The sequence below is a fragment of the Homo sapiens genome, chromosome 2 (assembly GCF_000001405.40).
Source record: "Homo sapiens chromosome 2, GRCh38.p14 Primary Assembly".
NCBI lineage: Eukaryota > Metazoa > Chordata > Mammalia > Primates > Hominidae > Homo > Homo sapiens.
The window spans coordinates 163,259,088-163,275,621 of record NC_000002.12 but is presented as its reverse complement, the minus strand read 5'-3'; the positions used below and the strand labels follow the sequence as shown (position 1 = coordinate 163,275,621).

The 16,534-nt window shown below is 35.0% G+C and overlaps 1 long non-coding RNA gene across 1 annotated transcript in view; it reads right to left on the bottom strand.

The window, feature by feature from the left end:
• The window catches only part of LOC105373727 (uncharacterized), a 70,096-nt gene extending 53,798 nt beyond the window's left edge, over positions 1-16,298 (bottom strand). The window contains exon 1 of the long non-coding RNA XR_923547.2: positions 16,131-16,298. This is a non-coding gene — a long non-coding RNA (uncharacterized LOC105373727). The remainder of the gene's footprint in view (positions 1-16,130) is intronic.
• Positions 16,299-16,534: the final 236 nt, after the last annotated feature.

Here is a 16,534-nt window from a genome sequence, read left to right as displayed (position 1 = left end):
AAAGCCCTAAAAATGTGCATAACCTTTTACTCATTAATTTATTTATTAAATATTATCCTAAAAGTCATTGAGATACACACAAAGAAGTGTGTACATAATATTTATCATTATATTATTTCTAATGTCAAAATATCATTAATAACCTAAGCATATGCCTGCAGAGAATTGGTTAAATAGAATGTGGAAATCCAAAAAGAGTATACTATACAGTTATTAAAAATCAAAATGCAGGGGAAAGTAAATAATATTATAGCATAAACAGTTCATATTACATGGGTAAGCAACAACAAATAGAAATAGGGTAAACAAAGAACACTTTTCTAATGATTATTTAGATATGTGTAAAATAATTCATGATGGGAACATCAGCAAGATAGTGGAGTAGGTGATACCAGCTTTCATTCCACCACACAAAAACCAGAAATTAGACAGCTATCAAAAAATGAAAATAGCCTTAGGAGGGCTCAAGAGTCCAGTTAAGAACCTGCAGCAATACAATGGAGCAAAAAGCAATGAATAACCACACAGATATGATTGCTGGGGAAATTAGCATAGTGGAGACATCTACAGATGGCTAGGAACAAAGTAGCAGAGTAAGAATTCTCAGTATCAACCATATGGTGGGTGCCACTATTGTGCCCAGTGACTTGCTTTGCAGAGGACTCCAACAGCCTTTGCTGCTAAGTACCTCAACATCACCTGTGGCAGCTTTGAACTCCCTGCAGAGTGTCCTTAGTGTTCATCAGTGCAGACCTCAGTGGCCTGCTCCACAGAGGATATCATCACCTTTTACCAGTGAAGTAATTAACAGCCATCACTGTTGCAGACCCCCTGGACAGAGAAACACTACTCTGCCCTTTAGCTCCAGGAAGGAGTCGGAATCGCTATTACACTGCTCTGAGACAATTCCACACCCTGCACTCTTTGCATACTCCCCAGACCCTGGAACTGTGACCTTCCATGTGCATCTGTGCCTCAAACACTGAAGCTACTACCACTTTGTGCTAGCATGTGCCCTAGATACTAGAGATATGGTCACTCTGTGTATACCTATGCTCCAGATGCTGGCTTCACAGTTACTCTGCCCCACACATGGCAGGCAAAAGAGCTACCAATGCATCAGGCCATCTGCATTACAGACTCTGGAACTGTGGTTGTTCCACACACACCCCCTTTCTGGACCCCAACTCTGTGGCCACTACATGACAGCCCATGCCTAGGACAGAAAAGCCACTGCTAGGCCGGGCGCAGTGGCTCACACCTGTAATCCCAGCACTTTGGGAGGTGGAGGCAGGCAGATCTCAAGGTCAGGAGTTTGAGACCAGCCTGGCCAATATGGTGAAACCCTGTCTCTACTAAAAATACAAAAATTAGCTGGGCGTGGTGGTGGGCACCTGTAGTCCCAGCTACTCAGGAGGCAGAGGCAGGAGAATCACTTGAACCCGGAAGGCAGAGGTTGCAGTGAGCCGAGATTGCACCACTGCACTCCAGCCTGGACAACAGAGTGAGACTCCATCTCAAAAAAGAAAAGAAAAGGAAAGAAAAGCCACTGCCACCGTGAGAGCTCCCATGTCTGGATTCTGGACCTATGTCTCTTTGTTTGCCTGCACTCTGTACCCCACACCCGAACTGCTTCATAAGCATCCATGTCTTGCACACTGTTACTAACATTGCAGTGGGGGTGCTTGCATGCTGGGTACTGGCATCACTGCTGCTCTGGACCCTGGAGCTTCAATCCTTCCACATGAGCCTGCACTCAAGACCCTGGCTCAATGGCTGCTCCACAGTTGTCACACATTTGGCACCAGTGATGCTGCCAATGTGAGCATGCATGGAAGCTACAACTGGTGCCAAGAAGAATCTTCTTGGCCATGACATCTTCCATAAACCAAAAGAGAGAGAGAGAGAGAGAGAGAGAGAGAGATTGGGAGGATCCTAGCAGTCTTTGCCACCAAAAACCCAAAAAGTCCTCACTGCTGCTGTAGAAACCCACAGCCTTGGCCACTGAGGATCCCTGACATCTTTGCCAATATTAACCTCAGGTAATGAAGCTACATAAAGACTATGCTCTTCCCTCACCAGAGTCAGAACCACCACATTACATTGAGCCAGTACTCTCACACCCACTCATGCTGAAGATTTTTTCCCCCACAAAACCAGTCTATAAAGTCTTCAAGACATGTAAGCAAGGCTACAAGAAACAAACAATTAAGAAAACATGACACCATGAAAGGAACACAACATTCCAGTAACAGATTTTAAAGAAATGGAGATCATAAACTGCCAGAAAAAAGAATTAAGGAAGCTCAACAAGCTACAAGAGAACACAAATAGGTAACTTGAAAAAATTAGGAAGGTAATGTATGAACAAAAGGATGAAGTCTACAAAGAGATAAAAATAAGAAAGAATAAAACAAATTCTGGAGCTGAATAATACAATGAATGAAGTAAAAAATATAATAGAGAGTATCAATAGGAAAATTGTCAAGCAGAAGAAAAAAATAGTAAACACAAATACAGGTCATTTGAAATTATCCAGTGAGGAGAAAAAAAAAAGAAGGAAAGGGAGCAGTGTTGAAAGAAGGTGAATAGGAGACAGGGCTAATGTGTAGCTCCCATATGGATGGATAGAATGGTGTGTGGAGATTCATGCCATGATCTTCTACTCTGAGAACCACACCAGAAATGTACTAGGAAAACCAAAAGAATTCATAGATCCTTTTAAAGAAGTGGCATGCCACTGCAAATTCTGTGAAACAGATGAAAAACTGTGAATTCCCAAAGTGTGAAAGGGGGAAAAACCTACCTCTGAGCACACATCCCCATGGAAAATTTGAAAATCCAGATCGTGGGAGAAGAATTTAACCCTACCTAGAGATAAAATGGGTTTAGGGAGTCATAAGAAATATAAAAGTACAAGTAGCAGTGGGAATTGCCTTAATGGACACTGAGATGACACAGATATTAGAATGACCTGATAATGAAATTTTAGCAGCTAACAAAAAAATTCCAACTAGCAAGTATGAACATGCTTGTAACAAATAAAAAATAGAAAGTGTCATCAAAGATATAAAAGTATTTGAGAAAAGAAATAGAAGAGGAAAGAAAGACTAAATGAACATCTTAGAACTAAAAAATATAGTAACTGAGATAGGAACTCAATGAATGAGCTCAACATCAGAATAAGAAGAAGAGAAGAAAGGATCAGTGAGCCTGAGGATAGAACAATAAAAATTACTCCATCCAAACAACAGAGAAAATAGATGGAAACAATGAATAAGATCTTAAAAAAATGTGGGACAATAACAAAATATCTAACATTGTGTCATCACAGTCTCAGAGACAGGAGAAAAAGTGTGGCCAAAAAAGTATTCAAAGAAACAATAGCTAAAAAACCTCCCAAATTTCCAGGAAGTATATATCTATAGTTTCAAGAGCTGAGCAAACCACTAAGAGGATAAATTCAATGAAATCTATACCAAGACATCTCCATATCAAATTTCCGAAAAGAAAAAGAAGAAAAAAATGTGGAAATTAGTCAGAGAGAAATCGCGTAATTTGTATAGGAAAGAAACAAATAAAATGACAACAGTTTTTTTAAAAACAAACCATGGCAACCAGAGGAAGTTGGCACAATAGTTTTGAAGTGCTAAAAGGAAAAAAATGCTGTGAAATTATCATTCAGAAATGAAGATATCAAACAGTTTCAGGTTCTAAGACAACCTATCCTAAATTAATGACTAAAGAGAAATCTCTAAATGGAAAGGAAATGATAAAAGGATACACTGTCAACATCAGGAAGAAAGAAGAATACAACAGATAGAACAAAAATATGCATAAATATGACATATTCTTTTACTCTTCTTAAATGTTCTGAATTCTGTTAGATGATGTAAGCAAAATTTATAAAACCATCGAATGTAGTTACATTAAGTGTAAATTGTGAAAATAATTGAGACCATATCTAAAATAATATTCTTTCCAATATAATGGTATAAATAGCTTAAAACTAAAAAAAAAAAAAAAAGACACATCATGTAAAGATTAATCCAAAGAAAATAGGAGTAGCTATATTACTTGTTTTGATATAGCAGATTTCAAAACAAGGCAAATTATCTGGGATAGGTAAATATTTGATAATGACAAAGGGTCAATTTATTAAGAAAACAGAGTTTTCTAGGCGCTCAAGACAGTGTGGTGATTCTTCAAGGATATAGAACCAGAAATCCCATTTGACCCAACAATCCCACTAATGGGTATATACCCAAAGTATTATAAATCATTCTACTATAAAGACACATGCACACATATGTTTATTGCAGCACTATTTACAATAGCAAAGACTTGGAACCAACCCAAATGCCCATTAATGATAGACTGGATAAAGAAAATGTGGCACAAATATACCATGGAATACTATTCAGCCATAAAAAAGAATGAGATTATGCCCTTTGCAGAGACATGGATAAAGCTGGAAGCCATCATTATCAGCAAACTAACACAGGAACAGAAAACCAAACACCACATGTTCTCACTCGTAATTGGGAGTTGAACAATGAGAACTCATGGCACAGGGAGGGGAACATCACACACTGGGGCCTGTCGGGGGGTAGGGTGTAAAAGGAGAGAGAGCATTAGGACAAACACCTAATGCATGTGGAACTTAAAACCCAGATGACGGGTTGATAGGTGCAGCAAACCACCATGCACATGTATACCTATGTGTCTATATATGAACCTGCATGTTCAGCACATGTATCCCAGAACTTAAAGTAAAATTAAAAAGAAAACAAAAGTTAAAATAAAGAAAACATAGTATTCCTTAATGTGAATGCACCAAACAACAGAGGAGTATGTGTGAAGCAAAGAGATAAAACTGAAAGGGGAAATAACCACATTCACAATAATAGCTCGAGATTTCAACACTCTTCTCAACAAATAGAAAACTGAGAGATAAAAATCAGTAATGATACAGAATTCAATAATACCATCAACCAATAGGATCTAATTGCCATTTATAGAAAATGCCCATTTAAAAACAGCAGAATATATATTCTTTTCAAGTATCTGTAGAACAGGTACAAAATATACAATATCCTCATATATAAACCTAAACAATAAATAAATAAATAAACCTCAATAATGATAACTATTGAAATTATTCAGAGTTTTTTGACTGAAGTGGTAGAAAACAACAGAAGTTTAAAATGCAATTTGGCTCAGTGGAGAATGGTACCCATTTAAACATTTGATGCTGGAGCAATTGAAACTCCATAGAAAAATCTCCCAATTTTTGTTCTAAACTTTATAATTTTTACAACAATTAGCCCAAAATATCTCACAGACTCTCAGATTTAAAACTGTAAAACCTTTAGGAAAATAAAGCAGAAAATTTTCAGGACCTAGGGCAAGGTAATGAGTTCTTAGCCTTGACATCAAAACTACTATTCATAAAAAAAAAATAGATTGATGAGTTGGATTTCATAAAAATTAAAAGCTTGCTTTCTGAAAGATTCCGTTAGGTTTAGAAGACAACTGCAGACTGGAAGAAAATATTCACAAAGCATTTTGGATAACAGTTTGGCAATTTCTTTCTTTTTGTTTTTTGTTTGTTTGTTTTGTTGTTGTTGTTGTTTTGTGTTTTTTTTTCAGACGGAGTCTCGCTCTGTCGCCCACCCAGGCTGGAATGCAGTGGCGCGATCTAGGCTCACTGCAAGCTCCGCCTCTGGGGTTCATGCCATTCTCCTGGGCAATTTCTTTAAACATACAATTACTGAACTGAAAAATGCTGTCTTGGTGTTTTTCTTGGAAAAATAAAAACCTATGTTTATACAAGCACTTGTATATGAATGTTCTTAGCAGTCTTATTCATGTAAGCCCCAAACTGAAAACAACCCATATTTCTTTCAAAGAGTGAATAGTTAAACAGACTGAGGTACATATCTACCATGGAATACTACTCAGATAAAAGGGAATGAACTACAACAATATGGATGAATTTTGGAAATTTATGCTGAGTAAAAAAGGCGATTACAAAAGATTGCGTAATTTATTCATTCCATTCATGTAACACTTTGAAAAGTTAAAATTTCAGAAATAGAGAACAGAGTATGAGTTGCCAAGGGTTAGGGCATAATGGGAGGAAGGAGGAGATTGAGTGTGATTATAAAAGGGTAACTCAAGGGACCCTTGTGATTAAACTCTTCTGCATCTTGACCGTGATGCTTGATAATACAAACTTACATGTGTTGAAATTGTATAGAACTGAACATCTACACATGCAAACACACACATAAATAAAAACAACTAAAATTGCAGAAATCTGAATAAGATAAGTGGATTGTATCAGTGCCAATATTCTAGTTGTGGTACTGTAATTTACTTTTGTAAGATGTTACCATTGGTGGAATTACACAAAGGGTAAAAGAAACCTCTTTGTATTATTTTTTCCAACTGCAATATTTTAATAGTCAATATTAAAAATCTATTCAATGTAATTCCCCATATTAACAGACTAAAAAAGTAATAGCACATGATCAAATAAACTGAGGGAGAAAAGCATTTAACAAACCATCAGCTATGTGTATAAAACCGCTCAACAAACTAGTAATAGATGGGAACTTTATAAAATGAGAAATAGCATCTAAAAAACCATACAGCTACCATTATTCTGAATGGTAAAAGACAAAATGCTTTCCTTCTACAAGTGTAAACAAATCCAGGACGTCCACTTTTTCACCACTTCTATTTAACATTGTACTGGAGGTTCTAGCTAGTGCAATAAGATGAGAAAAAAATGAAATAAATTAAAACATACAAAGTTTAAAGGAAACAGTAAAACTGGCTTTATTTGCAGATGTTATCTGCTATGCAGAAAATCCTAAAGAATCCACACATATTTGTCGCATTTATATTTATATAAATATATATAATATATATATAAATATATAATCTATTCAATGTAATTCTCCATTAGAGACTTATATACTAGAAACTATAAAACATTGTTGAGAAATATTAAAGGAGACTGGTATAACTGGAGAGATTTTCCCATGTTCATTGATTGAGTCTCAATACTGTGAAGATGACGACTCTCTCCCAATTGATCTCGAAACTTTTTGTAATTCCTATTACATGCCAGCAAACTCTTTTGATAGAAATCGTCAAGCTGATCCTAAAATTTGTATGAAAAATAAAAGTGCTAGTGTAGTTAAAAACTTTTTAAAAATTGAAGTCTCTCCTTATCACCCATGATGGCGTGTAGTGGTATGATTTATTTATTTAGAGACGGAGTCTCACTCTGTTGCCTAGGCTGGAGTGCAGTGGCGCGATCTCGGCTCGCTGCAAGCTGCGCCTCTCGGGTTCACGCCATTCTCCTGCCTCAGCCTCCAGAGTAGCTGGGACTACAGGCGCCCGCCACCACGCCTGGCTAATTTGTGTTTTTTGTATTTTTAGTAGAGACGGGGTTTCACCGTGTTAGCCAGGATGGTCTCGATCTCCTGACCTCGTGATTTGCCCGCCTCAGCCTCCCAAAGTGCTGGGATTACAGGTGTGAGCCACCTTGCCCGGCCAATGGTATGATTTATTATAACTCACTGCAGACTTAAACTCCTGAGCTGAAGTGATCCTCTCACCTTAGACCCTTGAGTAGCTGGCACTCAGGTGTGTGCCACCATGGCTAGCTAATTTTTAAAATCTTTTTTGTAAAGACAGAGTCTTGATTTGTTGCCCAGGCTGGTCTTGAACTCCTGGCCTCAAGTGATCCTCCTGCCTCAGCCTCTCAAAGCTCTGGAGTTACAGGTGTGAACCACCATTCCCTGCCTCAAAATAACTTTTAAAAAGAACAAAGTTAGAAAACAACAATACCTGGTTTAAAAACTTATTAAAACCATATAAGACAGTGTAGTACTGGCACAAGGAAAGGAAGATAGATAATGCAACAGAATTTAGAGTTTACAAATAAAGAGAACTCAATAAAGATGACAAAAAGAGTCAATGGGAAAAGGATAGCCTTTTAAAAAAGTAGTGCTGGGACAATTGGATATCCACATGTGTTAATTAATAACTTAAAAAAACTTTGACTCCTTCTAACACCACCACAATTAATTAAAAATAGACTTCAGATCTAAATGAGTAAAAACTATAAAACCTCTAAAAAAATAGAAAAAAATATGGAACAAACACCCTCATAACTTTGGGTTATGCATCCTTAGATATGCAAAAAGCATGATCCATAATAAAATAAAATAATGATATATTGAAATCACCAAAGTTCAAAACTGTGTTTCAAAAAACATGATTAAGAAAATAAAAAGACAAGTCACAGACCGGGAGATAATTTGGCAAGTCATGTGCCTGATAAAGTAATTGTATCTAGAATATGTAAAGAACTCTTACAACTCAATTAAAGGAAGACATACAACACAATTTTTAAAAGGCAAAATATATTAATAGAAATTCCACCAAAGAAAACATGTGAATAGCATACATTACATCAAAAGATGCTCAACATCTTTAGTCATAAGAAAAACGCAAAGTAAAACCACAGTGAGAGATTATGACACATCCATTCAAATGGCTGTAATCCAACAGACACACAATGTCAAGTGGTGGCAAAGATATGAAGAAACTGGAATTCTCACATATTGCTGGTAGGAATGTAAAATGCCTCAGGCACTTCAGAAAACCTTTTGGCAGTTTTTTAGAAAGTAAACATTAATTTAGCATATGAAACAGAAATACATTTCCTAGGAGTCTACCCAAGAGAAATGAAAATATACTCCCACACAAAGATATGTACACAAGTGTTCATGACAACATTATTCTTTAGTACTAAAGTGTAGAAACAATCCAAATGTCCACTAACTAATAAATGGATAAAATGTGGTGTATGTGTACAATGCAATCTTATTTAGCAATTAAAAGGAATGAGCTACTGATACATGACCATCAAAACCATTATGCTCAGTAAAAAAAGCCAAATGCAAAAGACTGCGTATTATATGATCCCAGTTATTTAAAATGTCTAGAAAAGGCATATTTAAACAAAAGCACATCATTGGTTGCCTAGAACTTGGGCACGAGAGTAAGGATTAACTGCATACGAGGCACAAGGGAACTTTTTGGGCAGTAGAAATGTTCTAAAACTGGATTTTGGTGATGTTTGTACATCTGCATAAATAATATACCGATATCATTAAATTGTACATTTATATAGGTGACTATTATGGTATGTAAATTACTTATCTCAATAAATCCATTACAAATGAACACTGATATTACCTATGGCACTTATTTAAACAAATGTATACTACACAGGTTTTGCAATAACGTCATTTAGTTCACCATCATTTCATTGTAATGTTGATGAGAGAAAGATGGATTCTCTGCGGGCCACAGTCTGTGTGGAGTTTTGGCTTCTCCCCATGTCTGTTTGTGTCTTTTCTGGGGACGCAAACATTTATTCCTTGATTCAGCTCACTACCACTATTACTATCGTCACTCACTGATTCACCATAAATTGGGTAATTGTCTTACTTTTTTTATTAATCTTTCTTAAATGTATATGTAGCTCACATTTATTTCAGTGTTCAATCTTGGCAGTGTTTTGGGTCTTTAGAAGTTCAGTGATGTTTTTGTGACCAGAAATATGCTATAGGAACTGAACTCTCATTTTTATCAATTAGGCTATGGTAAAATTGGTTTCATTATAATCATTTTGCCTAAAGTAGCAGTTTCCAATAACCTATCAAAGACATTAAGTGAGGTCTTACCATATACTAGGGAAAAAACCTAAGTCCTTCATTCTACAATTTTATGATCCAGAATTTTGATGACTACTCACTTACTTTGTTTTGTTTTCTATATTGTATGATGCTCATTGTTTATGTCATCATTTTCACCTGAACAGATTCATTTGATAAATGAATAATATGTGCTGTAAAAGAAATTTGAAAACTTAAATTTTATGTTCTTTTTTCAGCTTACATTTTTGTACAATGCATTGATTCTATCATTTGTTAGAAACATGGTTCATATTCTAGTTTTTCCTGATGCTTCTATAGTTCTTTGAGCAGGTGAACATGCAGATATGTAGCTATCTTTATCAAGAAACATTTGTTTAATGTCTCCCTGTGCATACTTATATTAAATATTCAATTTATTAATTTTGTTTTTTGCATCCTTGTAGGGTAAAACTTGCTATAACAGTATTTTCTCATGCAATATTCTAAAAGTATAAATTAGAGGAGGCCTCAGTAATGCTGCAGTACTAGCAGATGCAGAGTGAGAGAACGACAATAAGCTAGAGGAAGCACTGAAACCAAAAAACTTTGCTCCTGAGGATAGCTAGAAACAAATCCTGTTTTCTGGTCTTTAATATCCAGCTCTGTTTTACTAATTTTACTCATTTTCTCTTTACTCATTATTTTACTCATTTTCTCTTTAGGTTAATACACACACTTTTAATTTTAGTATCAGATCATCACCTAAAAGCCCTTTTTATGCATCTTACCTGCACCTAATGGCATGCAGAACTGGTTAAACATATGTGGTCTTTAACCTCTAAAAGCATATAGTTTAAGACAAGTAGCACATATATGAAAGGCATCTGAACAATTAAATACATATTATTCTAATATTAGGTTTTAGTTCTTAAATTATGCTTTAAATATGTACTTTTCATTAATATTTTATGAAACTATTAGCGGGCATTCACACAGACATTAAGTCATTTCATTTCACATTAATTTTTATTCATTTTTATAGCTCCATATAAGAGTTTCTCAGTGAGGTATGAAGAAATGTAAGGGATGGCACAAAGACTTTAGACAGATAGTTTAAAAATTAGACATCATTTTTTTGTTGCTGTTACTTTGATTTATTTTGAGGATGTGTCTTGTTTTTGGAGGGTTTTTTTTAGTCTTAGAGAAAATGGCCAGCCAGTTTTAACAGCCCTGCCATATTCCCAGGTGTCTCCAGTAATGTTGGAAGTCTTGTTTCTTTGCTGAATGTGTGGGAGTTCACTGGCCAAGCAGTGAATCACGCAGGGGAAGAGGAGGAAAAGAAAGCCTAGTGGGACAGAGGAATAAGTACTCATTCTGTAATCATCTTCTCCACTGCAGAAAAAAATTGGCAAATGCTGTCATGAATTAAATCCCTCATATGAAGGCAAAATATCTTCAAGTAAAGCCCAATGGAAGTAAAGAATTTTGATGAAAGGAATGTATGTTAAACATACAGATAGTGCTATCTCCAGTTCTCTGGTGGTGAAACCAACTGATGCTTTTAAAGAGTTATAGGAATCTCAGCGGGGACCCATGATTGCTGTTCCAAAGCATAAAAAAGGAAAGAAGGGTATTATTGATCAGGAAAAAATTAAATTAACTTTACATGAAGGGGAATGGAGAAATGAGCCAGTGGAATGCAGTAAGATATTTATATTGTGTTTATTGAATACCACAAATGCTTAATAAAAGTGCCTCATATTTGTATGCCACTTCTTGATAACGGTTGGAAGTTTGATAAAAAAAATAATGACCTATTTTTTACATCAACAGGAAGAATATCTAGAGTAGGTAGACTTTTGTCCTTATTAATTCAAAATTGCTACACTTTTTTTTTTCAGGCTCAGACCACATATCAGACGTTAGCCCTCCTATACTCTTATTTCCTTTTTCCCCTTCCTCTTTGCTCTGTGGATGATAAGCTATTGATGAAATCAATAGCTGTGTAGAAGAAGAAGATATAACATTCCCAGAGACTCTGGAGACAGGAAATAGAAGCAACAATTCATTTTTCTGTCTCAGTTTAGATTGTATTTATACCACCTGCTATGCCTGTGGGAATGGAATCTATAGTAGCGTCTTTAGACACAAACTTTCTCTTACTGACTTTCCTCTTTTTATTCAGTGTGATGGGATTTTTTTTTCTAAGAGAAGTAGCCTATGGCACTTGGCTAAGAGATGAGACTTCAATGAGATATAGGAGACAAAGAGTGACAAATTAAAATGACAAGTCTGTCTTATAAGATTGTGATCTAGTGAAATGAAGTATTTCTGGCCCAGTCAATGTAGACAGCATTATGCTATGTGGTAATAGATTGCAAGACCTGGGCAGCCTGTATATGTCTTTCAGATAACTGAGTTTGTCACTATCAACACTCTTTCAAATTGTGTCTTTCCTGGCTTTTGAGAATATGAGTTTAGACAAAGGTTTTCATATACATCAAGTATTTAGGGATAATTTATTTTTTGTTTAAAAGTCTGTTTATCAAAGAAAAATTTTAATAATATATTAGTCATTGGCATAATATTAATCCAAGAAGAAGCCTTAAATTAGGTAACTAATAGCCCTAAAAGTGATGGTGAACTTTGGCACTGTGTCTTATTGAATGTCTTGTTACATCTGCTTCCTCATAACTCTAAGAGGTGGTTGACCACACACTCTGCTGAGCTTCAGTCCTGCCTGCTGGATATCTCCAGCTGGTGTTAACACCATCATTCCAAATTCAATATACCTTAAATAAAACATATAAATTTCTTCTTTAAAAATTAGTGGAAATGCCTTTGCACATTATCATGCAGAAGTTTAAATTGAGTTTAATCTGTATTTACCTGCCTAGTTCCAAATGGGGAAGAGAAAGAAAGTAGATTTAAGCACACTCTAATAGGAGAAAATTTGGAATCATCTCTCATATGTCCTTCTTTTTCATCCCCTGCATATGACTTGGTAAGTCACCTAGTCTTATACAAGTATTTGTTTTTCTGCAATGTTTCTTATAGTGTTCCCCTTTCTAGTCCTACTGCTTCCTTCCTGATCCAAACCGTAATTTATTTCAGAAGTAAGAAATATAATCCATATGAGTCCTCTAATAGTGTTATAAAAATACTTTGGAACACTGAGCATGCATAAGAGTAATTTTTTTTCCTTTTATTAAAGTTCCTCCTGATAATTGTGGCCAATTATATTAGTACATAGAAAAACCAGCCAACCATAATAAGTTATATTTGTTGTATATCTTAGAAATATTCTAAGATTTATTGACACTTTGAGCCAAGAGAAAGTGATTCTCATAAAGTAATGGGTATCTCTAGTTGTAGATGGCCATGTTTATCTCCCTCTCAAGGATTATACATGTATCCTTTGGCTGGTTGCAAATATTTAGTTGTTTCCTAGCTTATTGATGCAATCACTGTGAAAACTAGAGAACAGTGTGCTTCTTTCAGAGCTATGTGACAGTTGTAGTAATGTCAAGAATATTATTATATTTGTGTCTTTACTTAAATGTCATGTTCATTTTCCCCAGTAAGACTATGCATTTCTTTTTTTCATATACAGTATGAGGAGTATTTCAGATGATTTCTTTTCTCCAAAACTAAATACTAAAAATTTAGATAGTAACAAAGTTGAATAAATTAATGTTGCCAGAATGAATTGTTGCAGAAGTCTAAGACTTCCTAAGATTCAGGAATGTTAGGGCATCTCTTTCATACCCATCTCTAGGAGTGAGTTTGTAACAACAACACTGGATACAAATGGGTTTGAGCAAGGCAGTGTTTTGAAATTCAGAAAAAAAGGAAAAGTCAAGGTAGAGTTATCATTCTTGGTAATAACTGAGTTCCTTATGCTGAATAAGGAAAGTTTCTATACATGTTTCCATAATACGAGGAAATAGGAATTACTCCTGAAAGTCCCCATCTTTACCCCATTGTCTTATTTTTCAAAAATATATATTGTTTTAATCAGTTCCCATTTTTTGATGTTTCCAGTGTATTCAGTAGAAAAAAATAAAAGGTAAATCATAAAATGTCAAAAAGAAATTTTAAACACTCACATAAAATACAAAATCCAATTGTGGATTACTTTTCAGAGCCAGGCAGAGGCAGATTAGAATGGTTACATGTAATCTATCTTTGGTAACATTAGTGTTTTTAAATTATATATTGTCCAACATTTTTTTACTAGTACCAATGGGGGAAAAGATGAATTACACTGACATCAAAGATAATACTATATGAATGAGCTCAATTATGGTTATAGTAGGCTCAATTAGATTTAAGATGAATAAACAATTTTAATAAATTGAATTAATTAGATTGGGCTTAAGTGTGCAAGTAGTCAATTTTCTGAAATAATGCACAATAATTTCTTCAAGAAGTGATGGTGTGTAATTGCCTGAAGTCAGAGGATAAAAAAGAGAAAAGGCTGAAAATCCATTATGTTTGTGTTAACAGTCTAACTAAACTAATTAAATGCTATCTGAATTTTCACACCTCTATTTCGTGATCTTTCTTGCCCCAAACCTCCCAGCCTCAAAAGCAACAAACAAAAAAAGCATTTGAAAGAGAACAGTACTAAATATACTGCAAAAAAATCCCATTTTGAAAGTCATCTACTCTTATTTTATCCACCTTTATGTGTTTACATTACTTGACAACAACTTTTCTTACATACTCTATATATAAACTTATGTAGTAATCATTTATGTGCACACAGATAAAATAATATTTTCTATACAGCTGTCAACTTACCCTGTCTGTGTTATGTGCATAACTTTTTTTAAACTTAGTACTGAGAGAATGCTCAGATATTCTTGAAAAGCTTGGAAAATCTGCAAATTTGAACTTTTAATAAAAATTTCACATCAAATACCAATACTCAGTCCTCCACGTTTGTTACAAAACATTGTAAATGTGTAAAATGATTTCTTTAGTTTCTATCCGGATTTCGAGACATTAATCTCTCAATTATAGCTAGAATTAACTTTCAGACAGCTTCACTAACTAAGATCCTCTCTTTTATACTTGATTTTTAAAGAAAAAGTTATATGAAAATAAACAAGTTTTGTATGTAAGAAGTTATGTTTATTTAAATAGGAAAGTGACCAATAGCCAACAAAAATCAAAGCCAAAGTTATTACATTGAACCATATAAAATAGCTAATATTTAACTATTTCTGTCTTACACAAATGGTTCTTTAACATGACTTAACTTGATTTTATTCTGGTTGGAGTAAGAATTCCTCATTTCCTCTGTATTCCAGTTAATGGAGGCAGTATAATATAATGAAAGAACTCCCAAAAGCCTCACAATTTTTATTACCATTTTAATAAGTCAAGATACCAACTGTACCTTTGAAAATTTGAAGAGTATTCTATAATATATCTTGATTTCCAAATAACACTGTCTTCTATGTCACTATAATAAAATTTAGTTTATTCAAAGTACAATTATTCCCATAGTATATTTTAGTTTCTCTTCTAGAAGATATGTTGATATTGCTCAACAATTAGTTTTAGAAAGATATGTCTAATTGTGATTTGCTTTGTATAATGTAATTTAAATTTCACTTGTAAGAAGAGAGAATATTCATAATATTTTATATTTCAGTAATTATATTTGCATTAAAATTATTTAATACAATATTTATAACATGTAAAATATAATAAAATCATGATGTTTTTCATGGTTCATCTATAATTTCTGAAGCACTTTAGAGTTGATGAAACAAATCTAGCTGTGAACAATTTTTATATTGTTATTACTAAAAATTATTTGTTGATGACTTTTCATCCATGATCCGTGAAAAAAACTGATTCTGAAAATACATAATGAATTTAAACTGAAAACACATAATGATTTTAAACAAATTAGATACTCACAAACCACAAATAGTGTTATACTCTAAGAGATGAAGCTGCTATTAGTCAGTGTTATATACATGAACTGAAATCTGAAAATGATCTTGTATTGCTATCCCAAATCTGAAAATGATCTTGTATTGCTATCCCTCTTTCATGCTCTCTGGTGTAAGATTTGTCTGGCTAATCTCTCAGGTTGAGTTCTGACCAAGAAGTGACATTGAAGTTCAGCAGGACACATTTCCTGTATATATCCATGGCTGGTTGCTCAACTGATGAGAACACATAGCTAGTAAACCCAAGGTCAAGAGTTCACTACTGTGTGGACCCATTTGCTTTGTTGTATGCAATGGTTATGGATCACACCCCACATCACAGGTACTTGCACTTATATGTTAGCTGTCACAAGGGAAATCCATGTGATGGTGTTTGGAAGGATGAAAGCAAACTCATATGCACAACTGAGAAAATCACTCAGTAAGTACTCACTGGAGACACAGTCCACATCTTCTTCACCCTGAATTCCTGCTGTTCTTTTTTCACAGACTCTTCCCACCTTCCTCCATCCCTCAGAGCAGGACAGTGATGGGACTCTTCAAGTTGGTGGAAAGAACTACTCACTAATCACATTCTCCCACTCTGTCACTGTTGGGAACAGGCCCCCCAAAATCTGGCCATAAACTGGCCCCAAAACTGGCCATAAACAAAATCTCTGCAGCATTGTGACATGTTCATGATGGCCATAATGCCCACGCTGGAAGGTTGTGGGTTTAGGGGAAGGAGGGCAAGGAACAGCTGGCCCACCCAGGGTGGAAAACCGCTTAAAGGCATTCTTAAACCACCAACAACAGCATGAGCGATCTGTGCCTTAAGGACATGCTCCCGCTGCAGAT